The sequence below is a fragment of the Homo sapiens genome, chromosome 1 (assembly GCF_000001405.40).
Source record: "Homo sapiens chromosome 1, GRCh38.p14 Primary Assembly".
Taxonomy (NCBI): domain Eukaryota; kingdom Metazoa; phylum Chordata; class Mammalia; order Primates; family Hominidae; genus Homo; species Homo sapiens.
The window spans coordinates 9,694,316-9,717,443 of record NC_000001.11 but is presented as its reverse complement, the minus strand read 5'-3'; the positions used below and the strand labels follow the sequence as shown (position 1 = coordinate 9,717,443).

General features: G+C 48.7%; 1 protein-coding gene across 38 annotated transcripts in view, besides 5 other annotated features; it reads right to left on the bottom strand.

The window, feature by feature from the left end:
• PIK3CD (phosphatidylinositol-4,5-bisphosphate 3-kinase catalytic subunit delta) overlaps window positions 1-23,128 on the bottom strand; it is a 101,857-nt gene that overhangs the window by 11,671 nt on the left and 67,058 nt on the right. For 23 of the 38 annotated variants that reach the window (XM_047422557.1, XM_047422553.1, XM_047422551.1 and 20 more), the window contains 5 exons: window positions 6,848-7,020; window positions 1,675-1,903; window positions 1,366-1,595; window positions 825-1,004; window positions 336-485 (listed from right to left, as the gene is read on the bottom strand). In XM_047422557.1, coding sequence (XP_047278513.1) covers window positions 336-485; window positions 825-1,004; window positions 1,366-1,595; window positions 1,675-1,903; window positions 6,848-6,988 — 930 coding nt within the window. In that variant the 5' untranslated portion in view covers window positions 6,989-7,020. Of the gene's footprint in view, window positions 1-335; window positions 486-824; window positions 1,005-1,365; window positions 1,596-1,674; window positions 1,904-6,847; window positions 7,021-7,163; window positions 7,340-23,128 lie in introns of all 38 variants that reach the window. The other 15 variants (XM_024447664.2, XM_047422571.1, XM_047422569.1 and 12 more) reach the window with 3 other exon arrangements.
• Window positions 136-1,111: an enhancer, noted in NCBI's record as "H3K27ac-H3K4me1 hESC enhancer chr1:9776391-9777366 (GRCh37/hg19 assembly coordinates)". NCBI's record gives its function as "activates a minimal SCP1, AML or CMV promoter by ChIP-STARR-seq in primed H9 embryonic stem cells {active_cell/tissue: H9 hESC(primed)}" and the evidence as "EXISTENCE:reporter gene assay evidence [ECO:0000049][PMID:30033119]".
• Window positions 1,112-2,087: an enhancer, noted in NCBI's record as "H3K27ac-H3K4me1 hESC enhancer chr1:9775415-9776390 (GRCh37/hg19 assembly coordinates)". NCBI's record gives its function as "activates a minimal SCP1, AML or CMV promoter by ChIP-STARR-seq in naive H9 embryonic stem cells {active_cell/tissue: H9 hESC(naive)}" and the evidence as "EXISTENCE:reporter gene assay evidence [ECO:0000049][PMID:30033119]".
• Window positions 5,947-6,147: a silencer, noted in NCBI's record as "peak57 fragment used in MPRA reporter construct". NCBI's record gives its function as "represses an SCP1 promoter by STARR-seq MPRAs in K562 erythroleukemia cells {active_cell/tissue: K562}" and the evidence as "EXISTENCE:reporter gene assay evidence [ECO:0000049][PMID:32103011]".
• Window positions 7,286-7,983: an enhancer, noted in NCBI's record as "H3K27ac-H3K4me1 hESC enhancer chr1:9769519-9770216 (GRCh37/hg19 assembly coordinates)". NCBI's record gives its function as "activates a minimal SCP1, AML or CMV promoter by ChIP-STARR-seq in primed H9 embryonic stem cells {active_cell/tissue: H9 hESC(primed)}" and the evidence as "EXISTENCE:reporter gene assay evidence [ECO:0000049][PMID:30033119]".
• Window positions 15,871-16,445: an enhancer, noted in NCBI's record as "H3K4me1 hESC enhancer chr1:9761057-9761631 (GRCh37/hg19 assembly coordinates)". NCBI's record gives its function as "activates a minimal SCP1, AML or CMV promoter by ChIP-STARR-seq in primed H9 embryonic stem cells {active_cell/tissue: H9 hESC(primed)}" and the evidence as "EXISTENCE:reporter gene assay evidence [ECO:0000049][PMID:30033119]".

The window sequence follows — 23,128 nt, the reverse complement described above, 5'->3', positions numbered from 1 at the left end:
GAGAGGGTCACAGGTTTGCGGCCAGGTTTGGGCCTGTCCACAATGCTATCCTTTCCCAGAAAACCTGCCATGCGGGCTCCCCAGGGGGCCCCAACACCCCTGAGCTCTGCAGAGGGGAAGGGCAGCCGGTGAGCCAGGCATGGGGCTGCCCCCCACCCACGGCAGTCCCACAGGCCCCCAGCCCAGGACGCTGGTCAGCTGTGTTGGCTTCCCCAGCTCAAAGCCCCAGCTCTCCATACCAAGGGCCCCTGGACCCATGGCCAGTAGCACATGGAGTTGGACGCCAGGTGGAAAGAAGGGGTGGCTCAGAGGGGAGGCGGAAGGCGCCATCTCACCTTCTTCGCAGGAATGGGAGGTGGTTTGGCACGCGGTTTCTGGACCTGGGGGGCAGGGTTGCTCTGCTCATCCCGCATGGCGAGGATGGAGGAGGAATGGACCATGGTCAGGTGAGGGGTCAACCCACTGTGCAGGCAGCTGCAGATGTACTGAGACGGGGTGCAGGGTGAGCGGCTGGTGGGGCGGCCCCAACCACTCCCTGGACACCAGGATTCCCAGGACCCCCCAAGCTGCCCACTGCCTGTCCTAGGCCTTGGGAGAGGGGAGGGCTTCCTGCTGGTTTTTCCTGCCCCACCTCCACCTCCCAAGACGGAGCCCCTCCTTGTGCTCTCAGAGAGGGCCAGCCCTACCAGGGGATGCTCTGGCGGTGACCCAAAGGCCTGGCTCGGCAGGCTCAAGGTGCGCCCAAATGTCAGCTCCCCGACTCCCACCCAGGCCCTATCCAGGGCGTTGGGAGCCCAGAGTGCAGAGGGCCTCAGCGGCCTCACCTGGAACTGGCAGAGCGGGTAGCTGCCATACAGGTACTCATGCCTGCCGTTCACCTGCAGCGTGTAGTCTTCCGGCTGCTCCACCAGCGGCTGCCGGAACACTGTGGCCTTCTTCCGCAGGGCACAGGCCATCAGCGCCAGCGGCACGTCCTTGGTGGACACCTGGAAGGTGAAGCTCTCCTGTGGGGAGGAGGGAGGTCAGTCCTCTGCCCTCGAGGCCCCCCGGGGTTCTGGGGCACAGGGCAGGGTTGCCTATTTGCCCCCAAGGGTAGGGTCTGGGGAGTTCACAAATGACACTGGGAAATATTTGTTCAAAGAATGAACAAACTGATGCCCAATGCCCCACGCCACTTGGTTATCCTGCCACGTTGAGCTTGCCTGGGGGGACGTTCAGTTGAGCCCCACACATGCACAGACACCTGGCAAACACCATCTGATGCCACTGGGGGAGGGGGGCTTGCGGATGACTGAGGAGTTTCACAGAGGAAGTGCTCCCCATGGACAGAGCAGCCTGGATGCCGCAGGCCACGCATGGGCTCACCTCGCTGCCCTCAAACTTAACGTTGACCAGAAGGGCCCGGTTCGGGAGCCGCAGGGTACCAGGCCCCCAGGTTTGAGCCGAGGGCTCCAGCTGCAGGGGGAAACTGTACTGCAGCCAGGCCTCCCAGCCCAGCTGCTGCCGGCGGGCGGCCGCCTCCTCGCAGAATTGGCACATCTTGGCGCGAAAGTCGTTCACTTCTGGGTCGCACAAGGAGTCAAACTCGTGGAGGCCTGCGGGGTGGGGAGGGCTGGGTCAGCGGGTGGGGCAGGCAGGGCCAGCCCGGCCACACGGCCCACTCGGCAGAGCTACCTTTGCCGATGAGGAGGCTGATCTGTGAGTTGATGAGCTTCTTCACGCGGTCGCCCTCACGGGCCACCAGGCGCAGGACGGGCAGGAAGGGCTGCACGTCACACAGACGCCGTTGCTCGTCCTCCAGCTCTTGCTGCTCCGCTGTCTGGTTGATGCAGGTGAACACATAGGCCTCGGGGCCACTGAGCATGTGGAAGAGCGGCTCATACTGGGCGCGGTGCCACAGCAGCTGGAGGGACAGTCACCGGTCAGCCCCTCCACCCAAGGCAGCCACTGGGAGGTGGGAGGCTGAGGGAGGGTGGAGAGCTGGCCTCCAGCCTGGGGGTCCAAACCTCCCAGAGGGCAGAGGCAGACCCCAAGATCTGCACTCTCTGCAGCCCCCTGGGTGCTGACCATGGGTGGACAGGCTTCTCCACTGATGCCCTTCTGTGGGGGCACCTGGGAGGTGCTGGGATCTGGGGCTGGCACCACGTCCTACAGGCTCCCCTCCCAGAGTGCAGGACCACCCTAGGTCACTCCAGAGACGGGGGGCCATGACCTTCATGCAGCCCAGCTAACTGTCCTGGAGTTCTTCACCTATTTATTTTATTTTTGAGATGGAGTCCCACTCTGTCGCCCAGGTTGGAGTGCAGTGGCGCAATCCTGGCTCACTGCAACCTCTGCTTCCCAGGTTCAAGTGATTCTCTTGCCTCAGCCTCCCGAGTAGCTGGGATTATAGGCATGCACCACCATGCCTGGCTAAATTTTTTGTATTTTTTTTTAGTAGAGATGGGGTTTCGCTACATTGGCCAAGCTGGTCTCAAACTCCTGACCTCAGGTGATCCACCCACCTCGGCCTCCCAAAGTGCTGGGATTACAGGTGTGAGCCACTGCGCCTGGCAACCCTGATTTTTAAATGTTGGCAACGAACTCAGAAATATTTAACACAGCAAGGGGGCCCAAAGAGAATTCTCCATGGAGTGTGTGCCCTGGGGTGACGGGCCTCCAGCCCTCCCACAGCAACAAGCAGTTGAAAGGTGTTCACCACTGAGTCACAAAGAAGACGGGAAAGGAGGAAAGTTCCCAGTGTTGCTACAAAGGGCAACGGCTAACTATGGTCTGTCAAGCAGTGGGATGGCGCCAAGCTGTGACAGTCTAGGGACTGTCAAGCAGCTCTATGTGCCCGGCCTGGAGGGGTCCAAGGTGTGTCATTAAGTGAGGGGAAAACCCCAAGATACAGAGCAGCAGGTGTGGGTCAAGCCCATTTCCATTAAAAAACAAACAAAAAAACCCCTAATAAACATATCAATTAACATAGACCAGGGGTGAGCAAACCACCCTTTTCCTGGCTAAATCCACCTGCCACCTGGTTAACCCCAAAAAGCCACGCCTCTTCATTTACATATCACTCAGGGCTGCTCCTGTCCTATGGTGGCGGGACTGAATCATCGCAACAGATAACAGAGCCAGCCAGCAACTGCTAAAATATTTACTATCTGGCCCCTGGGATAAATACAAATATGAAGAATTGGGACCAAATCGAGATGTGTATGCTTTGCCTCTGCACTGTTTGAATTTTAATAACCCACATGCACAGCTCTGTAAATGGAAAAATAAGACTGATTTAAAATGACATCTAGGTCAGGTGCGGTGGCTTACTCCTGTAATCCCAATACTTTGGGAGGCTGAGGTGGGAGGATCACTTGAGCACAGGAGTTCACGGCCAGCCTGGGCAACATAATAAGACTCCATCTCTACAAAAAATAAAAAATTAGTTGGTTATGGTGGCATGCACCTGTAGTCCCAGCTACTCAGGAGGCTGAGATGGGGGAATCATTTGAGCCCAGGAGGTTGAGGCTGCCATGAGCTGTGATCATGCCACTGCACTACAGCCTGGATGACAGAGCAAGACCCTGTCTCAAAAAAAAAAAAAAAAAGTATAAAAATAAAAAACTAAAATGCTATCTATAGCTTGGGCAACATGGCAAGGTCCACCGTTACAAAAATAATAATAATAATAATAAAAAATAAAATTAGCCAGGCATGGTGGTGCATGCCTGTAGTCCCAGCTACTCAGTAGGCTAAGATGGGAAGATCGCTTGGGCCCAGGATGTCAAGGCTGCAGAGAGCTAGGATTATGCCACTGCATTCCAGCCTGTGCAACAAAGTGAGACCATTCTCAAGCAAAATAAAATACAATGGTATCTATATAAAGTTAATAACATGAATAAAATGTTATACCGTTAACTCAGAAAAAAAGATATGAAAGGTCATAATCAGAATTATTACAAAAAAAACACTGTACATAGAGGAGAAAACAGGCAATAGCCAAAGTATTCACTGTGGTTTTCTCATATGGCTGGATCAGAGGTAATTTTTTTCCTTTTTCTACTTTTCCTACATTTATTTTTTGTGTTTGTTTTTGTCTGTTTGTTTGCTTGTTTATTTTACAGACGGGGTTTCACTCTGTCACCCAGGCTGGAGTGCAGTGGCAAATCATGGCTCACTGCAGCCTCAAACTCCCAGGCTCAAGTGATCCTCCTGCCTCAGCTTCCTGAGTAGCTAGGATCACAGGCACATGCCACCACACAGGCTGATTTTTTTTTGAGACAGAGTTTCGCTCTTGTCGCCCAGGCTGGAATGCAATGGCCCACATCTCAGTTCACTGCAACCTCCACCTCCCAGGTTCAAGCAATTCTTCGGCCTCAGCCTCCCGAGTAGCTGGGATTACAGGCATCTACCACCACACCTGGCTAATTTTTTGTATTTTCAGTAGAGATGGGGATTCACCTTGTTGGCCAGGCTGGTCTCAAACTCCTGACCTCAGGTGACCTACCCGCTTCCGCCTCCCAAAGTGCTGATAAGAGACGTGAGCCACCATGCTTGGCCCTGGCTAATTTTTTTATTTTTCATTTTCTGTAGAGACAGGGTTTTGTCATGTTACCCAGGCTGGTCTCGAACTCCTGGGCTCAAGCAATTCTCCTGCCTCAGCCTCCCAAAGTTCTGGGATTATAGGCATGAGCCACCATGCCAGGCCTTTTCCTAAATTGTAATGTGTCCATATTACTCTTCCAATGGAAGGAAAAAGAAACTTAATTTTTAAAGACATCTTCCAGGAAGAGAAGAAGAAAAAACTCTCAAAGATGATCCATTACTTCTTTCGTATTTTTTCCCTGCTCCCAATTATAGCTTTTAAAATTCTGGGATAAGGGCCGGGTGCCATGGCTCACGGCTGTAATCCCAGCACTAAGGGAGGCCAAGGTGGGCAGATCACTTGAGGTCAGGAGTTCGAGACCAGCCTGGCCAACATGGTGAAACCCCGTCTCTACTAAAAATACAAAAATTAGCCGGGCGTGGTGGCACGTGCCTGTAGTCCCAGCTACTTGGGAAGATGAGGCAGGAGAATTGCTTGAACCTGGGAGGCGGAGGTTGCAGTGAGCCAAGATCACACCACTGCACTCCAGCTTGGGCAACAGAGTGAACCCTGTCTCAAAAAATAAAAATAAATAAAAATAAAATAAAATTCTGGGATAAGGTCCTGCCCTCCCACAGCCCAAGGCATGATCCCTCAAGTCCCATGCTTAGTAAGGGGCACAAGCCCTTTAGAAGGTCACAAGACAATATCCACCAAATATTGTCTACATATTTAATCCTTTGACTCAGTAGTCCATCCTGAATATTATTCAACAAACCAAAATCTCTTTCCAAAGATGCTGTTTACAAAAAATTAGCCGGGCGTGGTGGTGGGCGCCTGTAGTCCCAGCTACTCGGGAGGCTGAGGCAGGAGAATGGTGTGAACCTGGGAGGTGGAGCTTGCAGCGAGCCGAGATGGCGCCACTGCACTCCAGCCTGGGCGACAGAGCGGGACTCCATCTCAAAAAAAAAAAGAAAAAGAGATGTTGTTTACTATGGCAACAGCTTTAAAGACAAAAGACCTGTAAACCACTTAGGCAGCCATGGATGGAGTGTGGTTTCAAAAATGAAAGGCACATTCTAGCCTGGGCAACATGGTGAAACCCCATCTCCACAAAAAATACAGACACGAAAAATTAGTTGGGCTTGATGGCACGTGCCTGTAGTCCCAGCTACTCAGGAGGCTGAGGTAAGAGGCTCACCTAAGCCTGGGGAGATTGAGGCTGCAGTGAGCTGTGATCGCACTACTGCACTCCAGGCTGGGCAACAGAGTGAGACCCCATCTCAAAAAAAAAAATGATGACACAGTCATGAATAGGATGAAAGCCCACCGTGGGAGGCAGCCCCTAATCTCATCTAGTCATGAATAATTGGATAACTGAGTAGAGGGAAACATACACTGTGAAATGGGGAAAGCTGAAATTGGAATAATTGGACGCAACCACAAGTCTTTCAACAACTCATGGACGTGATTTATCTTTTGGGTCGGGCGCGGTGACTCACACCTGTAATTCCAACACTTTAAGAGGCCGAAGCGGGTGGATCACTTGAGCTCAGGAGTTCAAGACCAGCCAGGCCAACATGGCATAACCCCATCTCTACTAAAAAACACAAAAATTAGCCAGGTGTGGTGGTGCACGCCTATAGTCCCAGCTACTCAGGAGGCTGAGGCACGAGAACTGCTTGAGCCTGGGAGGCAGAGGTTGTAGTCACCTGAGATCATGCCACTGCACTCCAGCCTAGGTGACAGAGCGAGATTGTCTCAAAAAACAAAAACCAAAAAAACCATTATCGGCTGGATGCAGTGGCTCACGCCTGGAATCTCAGCACTTTGGGAGGCCGAGGCAGGTGGATCACCTGAGGTCGGGAGTTTGAGACCAGCCTGACCAACATGGAGAAACCCCGTCTCTACTAAAAATACAAAATTAGTTGGGCGTGATGGTGCATGCCTGTAATCCCAGCTACTCAGGAGGCTGAGGCGGAAGAATCTCTTGAACCCGGGAGTTGGAGGTTGCAGTGAGCCGAGATTGCGCCATTGCACACCAGCCTGGGCAATAAGAGCGAAACTCCGTCTCAAAACAAACAAACAAACAAACAAACCATTATTTATCTTTTAAAATTCTCATCTGAGGATCCCAAGTCTGAAAAGCAGTGCATCTGTCCATCTGTCTGTCCGTCTGTCCACCTGTCCATCTGTCTGTCTGTCTGTCTGTCTATCTGTGTCTCTCTCTCTCTCTCTCTCTCTGAGCACCAAGGTCTGAGGACCGGATGGAGGCCATACCTGCTTGATGGTGCTGAGGTTGGCATTGCGGGACACAGGGAAGTTCAGGTAGACCCCTGTGGGCAGCAGGAAGTCAACCACAACGCTCTGATTCTCCTCCTTGGTCCAGAATTCCATGGGGCAGTCCACCCCAGGGGGCATCCTGCGTTGTTACTTCCCAGATGACAGTTGTCCTAAAAATGAAGAAATGGCAAAATGAGTTACCTCAGCTGAGCTGGGTGAGACCTTTGGAAGGGACTCCCTGGAAAACAGTGGGGTCCTTGGACAGCAGGAAGCTCAGGAGTGAGTTCCCGACCTGCGGGTACAAAAAGCTCACCTCCCTCAGGGCCTCGTCCTGCCCAGGGTGGCTTGTGGCTCCTACTACTCCGGGCCACGGCCTCAGCTGCCTCTTCTCCCAGGCAGACACTGCATGTCCTCCCCACAGGAGCACGCACAGCAAATCATCTTTCCTCAGGAACATACACATCCACGAAAGCCAGTCATGGCCACCAGCTGGCACAGAAGGGAGATGGCAGGACAGCTGGTCAGGTGCCCTGAGACCTGAGAGGCCGAAGGCTGCAGTTCTTTGAAATACATTCTTTTTTTTTTTTTGAGCCGGAGTCTTGCTCTGTCACCCAGGCTGGAGTGCAGTGGCACCACCTCGGCTCACTGCAATCTCCGCCTCTTGGGTTCAAGAGATTCTCCTGCCTCAGCCTCCCAAATAGCTGGAATTACAGGCATGCGTTACCACATCTGGCTAATTTTTGTACTTTTGTAGAGAGAGGGTTTCACCATGTTGGCCAGACTGGTCTTGAACTCCTAACTTCAAGTGATCCGCCCACCTCGGCCTCCCAAAGTTCTGGGATCACAGGCATGAGCCACCATACCCAGCTGTGAAATAGATTTTTTTTTTTGAAACAGGGTCTCACTCTGTTGCCCCAGCTGGAGTACAGTGGTGCCATCATAGCTCACTGTAACACAAATTCCTAGGTTCAAGCGATGTTCCCATCTCACCCTCCCAAGTAGCTGGGCCTACAGGTGCACACCACTACACCTGGCTAATTTTTTAATTTTTTGTAGAGACAGTCTCACTATATTGCCCAGGCTGGTCTTGACCTCCTGGGTTCAAGGGATCTTCTCACTCTGGCCTCCCAAAGTGCTGGGATTACAGACATGAGCCACCATATCCAGCCTCTCTGAAACTTTCTGACTAGAAACCAAAAGGCTTAAAAATGGCTTTGGTCATCCAATAATTTGTTAAAATATTCCAGTCAGGCCGGGTGCAGTGGCTCACATCTGTAATCCCAGCACTTTGGGAGGCCCAGGCAGGCAGATCACCTGAGGTTAGGAGTTCAAGACCAGCCTGACCAATATGATGAACTGAGCTAGATGAAACCCTGTCTCTACTAAAAATATAAAAATTAGCCGGGCATGGTGGCACATGCCTGTAATCCCAGCTACCCAGGAGGCTGACACAGGAGAATCGCTTGAACCCAGGAGTTGGAGGTTGCAGTGAGCCGAGATCGCACCACTGCACTCCAGCCTGGGTAACAAGAGCGAAACTCCGTCTCAAAAAAAAAAGAAAAAATTTGAATCATACCAAACCCTCCAGTCATACCCACCCCTAGTAACAAAATGTTACAAACACAAAGGACCTGGTGTTCCCCCTCTTCCAGGTCCCCTTCTCCCTTCCCCGCCTCTAGCCTACTCCACTACAGGTTAGCAGTACCTGGAGTCTGGTTGTTTATCATTTCCATACATGTTTTTTGTTTTGTTTTATTTTTTTGAAACAGAGTCTTACTCTGTAGCCCAGGCTGGAGTGCAGTGGTGCAATCTCAGCTCTTGGGCTCAAGCGATTCTCCTGCCTCAGCCTCCCGAGTAGCTGGGATTACAGGCGCCTGCCACCACGTCCAACTAATTTTTGTATTTTTAGTAGAGATGGGGGTTTCACCATGTTGGCCAGGTTGGTCTCGAACTCCTGACCTCAAGTGATCCACCTGCCTTGGGCTCCCAAAGTGCTGGGATGACAGGAATGAGCCACTGGGCCCGACGTCCATGCATGTTTTTATATTTTTATTATACCAACATGTATCCACATCCAATTCCTGGTACTAGTGCGTGCTTTAAATCTGCGCATGGTCAGGCATGGTGGCTTACACCTGCAGTCCCAGCACTTTGGGAGGCGACACAGGCAGATGACTTGAGGCCAGGAGTTCGAGACCAGCCTGGCCAACATGGCAAAATCCTGTCTCCACTAAAAATACAAAAATTAGCTGGGTGTGGTGATTCATGCCTGTAATTCCAGCTACTCGGGAGGCTGAGGCATGAGAATCGCTTGAACCCAGGAGGCAGAGGTTGCAGTGAGCAGATTGCGCCACTGCACTCCAGCCTGGATGACAGAGTGAGACTGTCTCAAACAAACAAACAAACAAACAAACAAACAAAAAGCCTGTATGTACACACGGAGTCTTCTGCGACCTGCTTTGGTCACTCATTGTGCTGTTCTTTAGATTTACCCAGGCGGGACCAGGCGCGGTGGCTCACGCCTGTAATCTCAGCACTTTGGGAGGCCGAGGCGAGTGGATCACGAGGTCAGGAGATCGAGACCATCCTGGCTAACACAGTGAAACCCCTTCTCTACTAAAAATACAAAAAAATTAGCTGGGCGTGGTGGCGGGCACCCATAGTCCCAGCTACTTGGGAGGCTGAGGCAGGAGAATGGCATGAACCCAGGAGGCAGAGCTTGCAGTGAGCCGAGATCGCGCCACTGTACTCTAGCCTGGGCGACAGACTGAGACTCCATCTCAAAAAAAAAAACAAAATTATAAAAAAAAAAAATTTACCCAGGCGAATACACACATGGCTTTAGTTCATTCGTTTTATCTCTTGCACAATATTTCATTGTGTAAAGAAGCCACAATTAGAAGAGATCATGTCCTTTGCAAGAACATGGATGGAGCTGGAGGCCATTATCCTCAGCAAACTAATGTAGGAAAAGAAAACCAAACACCATATGTTCTCACCTATAAGTGGGAGCTAAATAAGAACACATGGACACACAGAGGGGAACAGCACACACGGGGGCCTGAGGGTGGAGGGTGGGAGTCGGGAGAGGATGAGGAAGAATAACTCATGGGTACTAGGCTTAATACCTGGGTGACGACATAATCTGTATGACAAACCCCCACGACACAAGTTTACCTATATAACAAACCTGCAACGTACCCCTGAACTTAAAATAAAAGTTAAATTAAAAAAAAGAAAAATGTAACACTCAAGGAAAAAAAAAAAAAAAGAAACCACAATTTACCCTCTCTCTTGTTGATGAAGATGAAGGCTGGTTTCTACTTTTCTTAGTTACTTTTAATGATGCTACAATGTATGTTCTTGAATCCATCCCCTTGTGCTCATCGGAGAGTGCTGAGTGTTGCCCAAGAGAAAGGCAACGGGAACCACATAGGTAACGTCCAGGTTACCAGAAGCCACTTTAAAAAGTGTGAAAAGGCTGGGCTCATGGTGGCTCATGCCTGTAATCCCAGTGCTTTAGGAGGCCAAGGTAGGAGGATCACTTGAGGCCAGGAGTTAGAGACCAGCCTGGGCAACATAGTGAGAGCCCATCTCTACAAAAAAAAAAAAAAATTAAAAATTAGCCAAGCATGGTGGAGCGTGCCTGTAGTCGCAGCTACTTGGAAGCTGAGGTGGAAGGATCACTTGAGCCTGGGAGTTTGAGATGCTATGATGGATCACTACACACCAGCTTGGCAATACAGCAAAATCATGTCTCAAAAAAAAAAGAAAAAAGTAAAAAAAAAAGAAATCAAAAAAAGCCAAAAACAGTGAAAAGGCACAGATAAAATGAAGTTTCATTATGTATTTTATTTAACCCAATATAGCCACAAGATAGTCATTTTAACACATAATCAATAGAGAAAATTACTAATGAGATATTTTGACATTTATTTTGGTATCGAATCTTTGAAATCTGGTGTGTGTTTTACATTTAGTGTGTACTGCAATTTCATTTCTAGATTATCATCAGAAATACTTGATCTGAATGTAGATTTTATCCAATCTACAGGTGAAAAGTAGGTTCACAGACCCAGGTTTTTGTTGTTTTTTTCTGTTGAGATAGGGTCTTACTCTGTTGCCCAGGCTGGAGTACAGTGGCACAATCATAGCTCACTGCACCCTCCAACTCCTGGGCTCAAGCGATCCTCCAGCCTCAGCCTCCTGAGTGGCTGAGACTACAGGCTTGTGCCACCATGCCCTGCTAACTTTTTTTTTTTTTTTTGAGGTACAGGGTCTTGCTATGTTGCCCAGGTTGGTCTCGAACTCCTGGGCTCAAGTGATCCTCCCACCTCGGCCTCTCTAAGTGCTGGCATTACAGGTGTGAGCTCCTAGCCAGACCCAGTTTGTTCTAAACACACTTAAGGCTGGTCGCAGTGGCTCATGCCTGTAATCCCAGCACTTTGGGAGGCCAAAGCAGGTGGATTGCTTGAGTTTGAGACCAGCCTGAGCAACATGGCAAAACTCTGTCTCTACCAAAAAAAAAAAAAAAAAAAAAAAATTCCAATAAATGAATCAACAGCAATTTTAAATTAAATTAAATGTTTTAAAATTCCATTCCTCACACTGTCCACATTTCAAGTGCTCAAGAGACACATGTGGCATAACCTACGATCGGTATAACCACACCATTAACTTTACTAAATATCACCACACTGTCCTCAAGACGGTGGTGCCCGTCAGCAATCTCAGAACTGTGGTATGGAGATCAATCTCCAGATATTGGTCAACACTTGGTATTGTCAAATTTACTCATTTTTGCCAATTTGATGTGAATGAAATTATCTCGTTTTAATTTGCATTTCCCTGATTTTCCATAAAACCTTTATTTTCTACAAATAGCCTACTTACTATAAACTTTGCCCATTTTCCTGTGGGGTTACTTAATCTTTTTTAATGCTTTGTAGGATTTCTTTATATATTCTAGATTCCATTCCTTTGTTGGTTGAATGAGCGGGAAATATTTTCTAATCTGAGTCATCTTTTTGCTTTGCTTATGGTGTCTTTTTGGTGAGTAGAAGGTTTTTTGTTGTTGCTGTTTTGTTTTGTTTTAGGAGACAGGGTCTCACTCTGTCATCCAGGCTGGAGTGCAGTGGCGCAATCACAGCTCACTGCAGCCTCAACCTCCCAGGCTCAGGTGATCCTCCCAACCTCAGGCTCCCAGGTAGCTGGGACTACAGGCGTATGCCACTACACCCTTTTTTTTTTCCTTTTTTTTTTTTTTTTTTGGTATTTTTAATAGAGACTTTAAAAAAATATATGTTTTTAGTAGAGACTGGTCCCAAACTCCTGGGCTCAAGTGATCCACTGGCCTCAGTATCCCAAAGTGCTGGGATTACAAGCATGAGCCATCATGCCCAGCCTGGTGAGTAGAAGTTTTTAATGTTGATGCGGTCAAATTATCAATCTTTGCCTTTATGATTTATGATTTTTATTCTTTAAGCAAAGACTTCTCTACTTAAAGATCACATTCTCTTGGATTTTAAAGACTTGTAAAAACAGTTGAAAAGAAATATTTGGTTGAAGGCAGGTGTTGATTGGGTGGCAGCGCCGGCTGGGCCCAGGCCTCACCGTCAGCTGGACCCCAGCTGCCCTGAGGAGCGAGAGCTGCACATCTCTAGGCACTGCCACTGCTGGTCGCCACTTCCTCCAATTGCAAAACCACATCCTACTTTGGGTTCCTCTTGCTGAGAATGGCCAAGCCAAAGTCTTCCTTTTGTTTCAAAACTTGGGGGACCGGCTGGGCGTGGTGGCTCACGCCTGTAATCCCAGCACTTTGGGAGGCTGAGGCCAGTGGATCACTTTGAGCTCAGGCATTGGTGACCAGCCTGCGAAACATGGTAAAACCCTGTCTCTACACAAAATACAAAAATTAGCCGGTCATGGTGGCTCACGCCTGTAGTCCCGGCTACTTGGGAGGCTGAGGCTGGAGGATTGCTTGAGCCAGGGAAGTGGAGGTTGCAGTTAGCTGAGATTGTGCCACTGCACTCCAGCCTGGGCAATAGAGTGAGACCCTGTCTCAAAAACAAAACAAAACAAAACAAAGCAAAACAAAAAAACAACTTGGGAGAGAGTCAGGAATCCTGGAGAATCCACTTATGACATGAAATGGGCTTTGACCATGGGCTTTGAAAGTCAGGGGTATCTTTGGCCACTCAGTCTGGTGAGGCCCAAGATGAGCACATGAGGCATGAGCTCCCAGGGACTCCAACCCACAGCCTGGGTTCCAGGAAAATACACCCCTCACTCTCCTGCCCCTTAGCACTCTGGAAATGAAGTCTTCAACTACACCTTACCTAAATGGGATGTAGGGAAATACTTTCACAGAAAACCTCATTCCTAATACAGAAAGTATCAGACTGGTCTGCACAGGACATCAAATGCCAGGTCCTGTCACCAGTGAGACAGGACAGGAGAAAGTGGAAGTGCCTTCCGTCTCTCTGGGCTAAGAACCTCTCTCTAGCACAGTGGCCAACCAGCCCTAACTCTTCCCTGAATGAAGCCCAGAACCATAGCTCTCTGATATGTACAGGACAGAGATGCCAGTGAGTACAGGGACTTCAGAAATGCCCCAAGAACGCAAACCAGTACAACTGCTTTGGAAAACTGTTTGACAATATCTACTAAAGTTGAACATGCCTATGCCCTAGGACCCAGCAATTCCGCTCCAAAGTACACACCCCAGAGAAATGCAAATACATGTATATTTATCAAAAGACACGGGCAAGAGTGTCTATGGCATCACTATTCATGATGGCTCCAAAGTGGAAACTTCCCAAATGCACATCAACAGAATGGGGAATGGCAAAATAATGTGTGATACTCTTTCTGAGCAGAATGTTATATAGCAATGAGAATGAGCAGTCTACAAGTCCACACAACAGTATCGATGACTCTCACACACATAAAGCTGGGCAAAAGCAGCTGCCCACAAAAAAAATATGTGTTCATGATTCCAACTGTACAAAGAAACAAACACAGGCAGAATTAATAAATCTATGGTGGCAAAAGAAATAGGGGTTACCCCAGGTTTGGGGGAGTGACTAGAAGGGCGCATGGGAGGCTTCTGGGTGCTAGTAACTTTACGTTTTTGTTGGTTTTTTTTTTAATCTGGGAGCTGGGGACTTTTCAAAAACTCAACACACTCAGTCCAAGTGGTTCGGATAAGCTGACTTCACCCCTAGCTCCCTGGATAGCCTGAGACTCAGACACAGCCAATCAGGGGCCTGAGTTTGCCCAGGCCATGGGGATTGGCTTGGAGGTGGGAATGAGACTTAGGCGCAGCCTATCACTACACGTTATCTCCCTGACTATAGGATTCCAGGATGGCCATATGACTATCAAGTCAGTCCAGTGGGTTTTGACATCTAGGCTTCTCTGGGACTTCTTCTTGGGGTAGCAGAAACGACAGACTGTCTACCTAGAGCTGCTAGCAACTGTTTGCTGTCTTTAGGGGCAGAACTTGAGAAGAGACCAACACAGAGGAAAGTGGGGCTAAAGCAGACAGTACAAGCCTGGGTCCTGAGGACGAACTTTGATTCCCTGGATCCAGCCATGCCTGAAGCTACAGTCTATCCCTGGACTCTTCAGTCTCATCAGCCTTTTTTCTTTTTTAACTTACAGCAGTTTGAGCTGAGTTTTTGGCCGCTTACAGCTAAAAACATCTATTTTCATTACTGCAGCTGCACTTCCATTTTTAGAAGCTTCTAGTGTTTAGAAAGTTCTTTCCCTGACCGGGCACGGTGGCTCATGCCTGTAATCCCAGCACTTTGGGAGGCTGAGGCAGGTGGATCACTTGAAGTCAGGAGTTCGAAACCAGCCTGACCAACATGGTGAAACCCCGTCTCTACTAAAAATACAAAAGTTAGCCGGGCATGGTGGCACATGCCTATAATCCCAGCTACTCGGGAGGCTGAGGCAGGAGAATCGCTTGAACCCAGGAGGCGGAGTTTGCAGTGGGCCGAGATGGCGCCACTGCACTCCAGCCTGGGCAGCAAGAGCAAAACTCTGCCTCAAAAAAAAAAAAAAAAAAAAAAAAAAAAAAAAAAAAAGGAAAGTTCTTTCCTTGGAAGTGGACCTGCCTCTAAGAGTCAAACTCCGATCTCTGTGCTGCCATCTAGAGGCACACAGAGGAGTCCACAGGACCACTGGATGGCGGCCCCATCAGGCCCTAAGGCGTCTCTCTTCAGCCTAGGCATTCCCAAAACCACTCAATGTTCTCCCTGTGATACAGTTTTTAGACCCTTTTGCCACAGTTTGGTACTCCAAGCTAACAAGATGCTCCAGGGCAGCACCTTGGGAGGCCAAGGCAGGTAGATCACCTGAGGTCAGGAGTTCGAGTCCAGCCTGGCCAACATGGTGAAACCCCGTCTCTACTAAAAATACAAAAATTAGCCAGGCGTGGTGGTTCTTGCCTGTAATCCCAGCTACTCGGGAGGCTGAGGCAGGAGACTCGCTTGAACCCAGGTGGCAGAGGTTGCAGTGAGCCGAGATCGCACCACTGCACTTCAGCCTGGGCAACAGAGTGAGACTCCATCTCAAAAAAAAAAAAACCAAAAAAACAAAAACAAGATGCTACAGACAGGGCCTGGCAGGTCGAGCTGTAGAAGAATGTTCTGGGCACCGAGCTCCTATTTGCTTAGCCTGAGAGTATTTCATGCTCCCCTACTCTCACCCCAAGGCAGATTTTTGGTGGCCACATCATGAACTCATTGGCTGCCAGCCCTCCAGGGATTTTTCACAGTAAGCCAGGTTCTCCCTGCCTGTACAGGAACATGAATTTCCTGATCTAAATGAAGGAATTCACAATTATCCTTGGTAGTTTCATCTTGTGAACATAATTGGCTCTCATATCTTATTGGATTTTTTTTTTTTTTTTTTTTTGAGACAGAGTCTTGCTCTGTCGCCCAGGCTGGAGTGCACTGGCACAATCTCCGCTCACTGCAATCCCCGCCTCCCAGGTTCAAACAATTCTCCTGCCTCAGCCTCGTAAGTGGAATTACAGGTGTCTGCCACTGTGCCTGGCTGATTTTTTGTATTTTTAGTAGAGACAGGGTTTTGCCATGTTGGCCAGGCTGGTCCTGAACCCCTGACCTCAGGTGATCTGCCTGCCTCGGCCTCCCAAAGTGCTGGGATTACAGGCGTGAGCCACCGCGCCCGGCTTTGATTTTATGTTTTGTCTCCATCATTCAGTCCGAGGTAGATTCATTTATCCCACCAGTATCTATGGAGCCTGATTAAGTGCCAGAAATTACACGAGGTGCAGGGGATCTCGTGGGAAAGGGACTCAAGTCTTCTAGAACGGGCCACTACAGCTGGAGCAGGGGGTGGTGGGCACGGAGGGGAGGGTGTGGCATGAGCAAGTTGAAGACTTCAACTGGGCTGGGTCTTGCAGAGCCTTCAGAACAAGGGCTGGCACCTGGGGCTTGTGCTGAGCGGATGGACAGCCCTGGAGGATTTTAGGTGAGGGAGTGAGGGATGCGATTTTCATCCACAACTATGCTGCTGGCTGCGGTGTGGAAGGACTGCGGAGAAGCAGGGAGGAAGGGGAGTAGGGGGCAGGGGAAGGAGGCCGGTGCCACTAATGACAGTGGCTTGACCCAGAAGGAGACAGCACTGGAGAGCAACGGAATCCAGACATACTTAAATCAGAGGGACCCTTGGGGGACGGTGCAGGAGGAAGTGAGGATGACAGCCAGGTTTGGGCTTGGGAGATGGGAGTGGTGGTGGGAATTTACTGAGACAGGAAAGGAAGAGATTTCTGGTGGGATAAGACAGCCGGAGCCCCATTTTAGACCAAATGAATCTCAGCTGCTTAATGAATAGCCACGTAAAGACCGCCAGGGGCAAACTCCCCAGGTGGGAGGGCGGGGGACAGATCTGTGGAGTCAGCAGGCTACAGACAGATGTGGAGCCGGGGAGGGGCAGGTGAGACGGCCTAGACACAGAGCGGGGAGCTGGGGTCGCGTCACCCAGTGATGGACGGTGACCAATCCCTCCTCACTTACTCATCCAGAATCCTGAGGCATGAGTTGTGTCCACATCTAAGTCACTCATAAAATATCCAAGGAAACAGGATAAGAACACAATTCCTTTCACCTTCCCACCTCCTGGCCAGCATGATCCACAGAAACAGCTGTGCAAAGCGGAGCCCTCCCGCACATGGGGTTCTGGCCAGGACACCACGCCACCCTTACAGTCTGTCCTGAAATGTTCTCCTTGGTGCTCTTTCTGGAGCCCAAGGTGGAAGAACGGCGTCCCAGCTGTGAACGTCTGAGGGATCTGACCTCAGCTATTGGGAGGCTGAGCCACGAGAATCACTTGAACCTGCGAGGGGGAGGCTGCAATGAGCCGAGATCACACCACTGCATTCCAGCCTGGGCAAGAGTGAGACTCTGTCTCAAAAATCAATAAATAAATATTTAAAAATTAAATACAAAGTTAAAAAGAAAACAAATAGATAAACAAGATGCTTCAGGTAGTAAAAGCACTGGAATATAATAAAAAGGGGCTTGCAGGCAGCGTTTCCTTTGGATGGTGGGTCAGGGAAGGGTCCTCGGGTGAGATCATTCTGAAGTTGAGGCTCAAGTGAGAGAAGGATCCAGCAAAAATCCACAAAATAGGGTTCCGGGCAGTGGGGACAGAAAGTGCAAAGGCCTGGGCCGGGGGCGGTGGCTCACGCCTGTAATCCCAGCACTTTGGGAGGCCGAGGCGGGCAAATCACTTGAGGCCAAGAGTTCAAGACCAGCCTGGCCCACACGGTGAAACCCTGTCTCTATTTAAAAAATACAAAAAAATTAGCCAGGCGTGGTGGCACACACCTATAATCCCAAGTAGGCTGAGGCAGGAGAATCCTTGAGCCTGGGAGGCAGAGGTTGCAGTGAGCCAAGATTGCACCATTGCACTTCGGCCTGGACAATAAGAGTGAAACTCCATCTCAAAAAAAAAAAAAGAAAGTACAAAGGCCCTGAGGCAGGAGGCAGGTGCCTGAAGTCAAGGGCGTGACTGGGAGAGGGTGACTGGGAGAGACGGTGAGTCTGACCCTGCAGGGCCCCGTAGCCATGGTGAGGAGTCCAGTATCATTACAAGGAGAAATCACTGGAGGGTTTTAAGCAGAGGACTGAGGCGGCCTGATTTTATGCTTTATAAAGATGGCTTTGGCTGCTGTGGGAAAATGGAAGGGGCGAGGCCAGAATGGAAGTAGGAAAGCAATGAGGAGACGTGTGCAGGACATGTACAGCAAGAGCTGGCAGGGCTGGGTTGATGAGGGGAAGTGCTGGGCTCACATGCCCCGAAATGCCCGAACTCATCCCAGCAGCCTACTCTTTTTTTGGCACGGTTCGCAGAGAGGGTCTCATTCTATCGCCCTGGCTGGAGTACAGTGTCATCATCATAGCTCACTGTAGCCTTGACCTCGTAAGCTCAAGAGATCCTCCTGCCTCAGCCTCCCAAGTAGCTGGGAATATGACACAAATCACTGCACTGTGCATCACTGTGCAGAGCTTTGTTTATTTATTTATTTATTTTGTAGGGGGCGGGACCTCCCTATGTTGCCCAGGCTGGTCTCAAACTCCTGGGCTCAAGTAATCCTCCTGCATCGGCCTCTGAAAGTGTTGGGATCACAAGCATGAGCCACCATACCTGGCCTCCGCAACAAAGATTTCTGACCTCTACTGCTGCCATCAGAAAAAAGCTAACTACCCTGAAAAAAAATGCTATCCCCACCATCTCATCATCATCCTAGGTCACGGCCCACCAGGGAGGCCACAGGCCTGCACCCAGGTGGAGGCCTCAGATACTACACATCAAAATCAAGAGAAAGAAACATCCATGGTCTCAGACCTGGTAACTTTGGGAATTTGGGAATTATCCTAAAGAAGCAATTCAAAAGTCAAAAAAGCTATATACACAAAGATATTCAATGTGGTATTGTTTGTGAAAGTGATAAGGAAATGGCTAAATGATGCATTAACTCAATGAAACTGAATGCAGTCATCAAAATGACACCTGGGCACACTACACAACACTGCAAATATTCCACACATTAAGTGCACAGACATTTATCACTGTGACATATGCTTGTTGATAAAGCATTTTAGAAAGCATAGAAAGGCCAGCCATGGTGGCTCACGCCTGTAATCCCAGCACTTTGGGAGGCTGAGGCAGGTGGATCACCTGAAGTTGGGAGTTCGAGACCAGCCTGACCAACGTGGTGAAACCCCGTCTCTATTAAAAACACAAAATTAGTTGGGCGTGGTGGCGCATGCCTATAATCCCAGCTACTTGGGAAGGTGAGGCAGGAGAATTGCTTGAACCTGGGAGGCGGAGGTTACAGTGAGCCGAGATCGTGCCATTGCACACCAGCCTGGGCAACAAGAGCGAAACTCCGTCTCAAAAAAAAAGCATAGAAAAAATGAAATGTTATGAATGAATATGGATGTCATAATAACTTTATTATTTTAATTTCTAGGAAAGTTATACAAGTACGTGGTTTTCTTTCTTTTTTCTTCTTCTTCTTTTTTGAGACAAGGTCTGGCTGTGTTTCCCAGGCTGGAGTGCAGTGGTGCAATCTCGGCTCACTGCAACCTCCACGTCCCAGGCTCAAGCCATCCTCTCATCACAGCTCCCAAATAGCTGGGACTACAGGTGCACGCCACCACACCCAGATACTCCTTTGCATTTTTAATAGAGACAGAGTTTTGCCATGTTGCTCAGGCTGATCTTGAACTCCTGACTTCAAGTGCTCCACCCGCCTCAGTCTCCCAAAGTGCCAGGATTACAGGTGTGAGCCACCGCGCTCAGCACTTTTTTTTTGTTTTAGAGACAGGGTCTCACTTTGTTGCCCGTGCTACAGTGCAATGGCGTGATCATGACTCACTGCAGCCTTGAACTCCTGAGCTCAAGTGATCCTCTCACCTCAGCCTCCCCAGTAGCTGGGACTACAGGTGCACACCACATACCCAGCTAATTAAAAAAAAACTTTTTTTTTTTTTTAAATAATAATGAAATACAATTTTGTTGTCTTGAAATAGGTTCTCACTATGTTGCCCAGGCTGGTCTCAAACTCCAGGGCTCAAGCAATCTTTCCATGTTGGCCTCCCAAAGTCCTGGGATTACAGGCATGAGCCACCGTGCCTGGCCACAAGTCCATGATTTTTAAAATTAATTAAAACTAAAACTCTTACAGTACAAAGTAGCAGTCCTCCGACCTCCACTTCCACATATATACCACACCCAATAAATTTCAGTTGCTTAAGTATTTATCTCTATATTTCCATTTTTTATTTAAAATTTTTGTGTGTTTTTATACCTCAGGCAAAATTTTTAAAAAATCTTTTATGAAAATAGAGACAGGGTCTTGCTATGTTGCCCAGGCTAGTCTTGAACTCCTGGGCTCAAGTGATCCCCCCACATTAGCCTCCCAAAGTGCTAGGATTACAGGGATGAGCCACTGTGCTCAGCCTACAATTTTTTTTTTTTTTTTTTTTTGAGACAGGATCTTACTCTGTCCCCTAGGCTGGAGTGCAGTGTCACAAGTACAGCTCACTGCAATCTCCGCCTCCTCAGTAACTGGGACTACAGGCATGCACCACCACACTTGGCTAATTTTCAAATTTTTTGTAGAGACAAGGTCTTAGTACATTGCCCAGGCTGGATGCAAACTCCTGGGCTCAGGCGATCCTCCTGCCTTGGCTTCCCAAAGTGCTGTGATTACAAGGCATGAGCCACCATGCCTGACCTTGATATTTCTAAATAACAGTTTTATGGTAATATTTCTTGGTTTTCAACTTTCAACTTATTTTTTTCTTCTCTCTTTTTTTTTTTTTGGGACAGGGTCTCATCCAGGCTGAGTACAGTGGTGAAATCCTCAACCTCCCTAGCTCAGGCAATCCTCCTGCCTCAGCCTCCCGAGTAGCTGTGACTACAGGCACATGCTACCACGCCAGCTAACTTTTTATTTCTTGTAGAGATGGGGTCTCACTATGTTGCCCAGACTGCTTTCAAACTCCTGGGCTCAAGCAATTCTCCTGCTTCAGCTTCCCAAAGTGCTAGGATTACAGGTGTGGGCCACCATACCTAGCCAATTTTATTCTTTTAATATTTTTAAATTTTATTATTATTATTTCTTGTAGAGATGGGGTCTCACTATGTTGCCCAGGCTGTTCCTGAACTCCTGGGCTCAAGTGATCCTCCTGCCTTGGGCTCCAAAGTGTTGGGATTACAGGCACGAGCCACCCCACTGTCAAATTTTAACTTCTTACCTTAGAAAATGAGTTTGTGGGCCAAGTGCCATGGCTCACACCTGTAATCCTAGCACTTTGGGAGGCCACGGTGGGTGGATTGCTTGAGCCCAGAAATTTGAGACCAGCCTGGGCAACATGGCAAAACCCTATCTCTACAAAAAGGATAAAAATTAGCTGGGCATGGTGGCGTACACCTGTAGTCCCAGCTACTCGGGGGGCTGAGGCAGGAGGATTGCTTGAGCCTAGGAGGTCGAGGCTGCAGTGAGCCATGATCACACTGCTGCACTCCAATCTGGGTAACAGAGAAACACCTTATCTCAAAAAAAAAAAAAAGTCTTTAATGTACTTTTTATTTGAATGACAATTACAGAATTAATTTCCCTCAGAATTAATTAATTCTCAGAAATTTAAAAGCACTGACCATTTTCTTGTAGTATCTTTCTTTCTTTTCTTTTTTTTTTTTTTGAGACTGAGTCTCGCTCTGTCACCCAGGCTGGAGAGTGCAGTGGCACAATCTCGGCTCACTGCAGCCTCCGCCTCCCGGGTTCAAGCGATTCTCCTGCCTCAGCCTCCCAAGTAGCTGGGATTACAGGCACATGCCACCACGCCCAGCTAATTTTTGTATTTTTAGTAGAGACAGGGTTTCACCATGTTGGCCAGGCTGGTCTTGAACTCCTGACCTAGTGATCTGCCCGCCTCGGCCTCCCAAAGTGCCGGGATTACAGGTGTGAGCCATTGCGCCTGGCCTGTCTTGTAGTTTCTACTGTTGCTTTTGAAAAGTCTAAAGCCATCTCATTCTCTGATCTGTATGTGGCCTTTTTTTCTCTGATGACATTTAGTAACTTCTCTCTATCTCTGGAGTTTGAAAGTTCATGATGATGTCCTATAGCGTGGGCCTTTTATTATTCATGGTATTGGGTACTACTTCGAGACTGTTTAAAAGTAGAAATGCCTTCAGTTCTAGAATTGTTTCCTACATACTTTTCCTTCCTCCGTTTCTCTTGCCTTTTTTTCTTGAGCTCCTATGTGGTGCATGCTGGGTCTCCTGGACTGAAGTCAAATTTTTCTATATTTTCTTTCCTATTTTCCATCTCTTAAGTCTTTGTGTTCTACTTTCTGGAAATTTGTTTTTCACTCTTCCAACTCTTCTGTTGAAATTTTTACTTCTTCTATTTTTACTTCTGCTATCTTAATACCTAACAGCTTATTATTTTATGAATGTGCCTTTTTTTCCCCATACGACCCTGTTTGTGACTTCTCAAATTTTTTTTTCTGTTCATTTGGGTCTCTGTCTTTCACACTAGAAGTCTCTCTCTGTCTCTCTCTCTCTCTCTCTTTTTTGTTTTTGAGACAGGGTCTCACTCTGTCACCCAGGCTGGAGTGCACTGGTATGATCATGGCTCACTGCAGCCTCAACCTCTCAGGCTCAAGCAATCCTCCCACCTCAGCCTCCCAAGTAGCTGGGATCACAAGCATGTGCCACAATACCTGGCTTGTTTTTTATTTTATGTAGAGAGAGGATTTCCCTACGTTGCCCAGGATGGTCTCGAACTCCTGGGCTTAAGCGATCCTCCTGCCTCAGCCTCCCAAAGTGCTGGGATTACAGGCATGAGCCACCACATTTAGCCTGTAAATCTCATTCCATGTGGGATGGCCCTTGGCTGCCCATTCAAATCTAAGGGAAAGGCACTAACCCTGCTTGTACACAGGTAGGGCTAGCTGCTCGGTAGGCTTCAGTGTGAAATGACAAAGCAATAAGCTGACTTTTATTTTTTGAGACGGAGTCTCACTCTGTCGCTCACGCTGAAGTGCAGTGGCGTGATCTTGGCTCACCGCAACCTCCACCTCCCAGGTTCAAGCGATTCTCCTACCTCAGCCTCCTAAGTAGCTGGGATTACAGGCACGCGCCACCACACCCAGATAATTTTTGTATTTTTAGTAGAGATGGGGTTTCGCCATGTTGGCCAGGCTGGTCTCAAACTCCGGCCTTAAG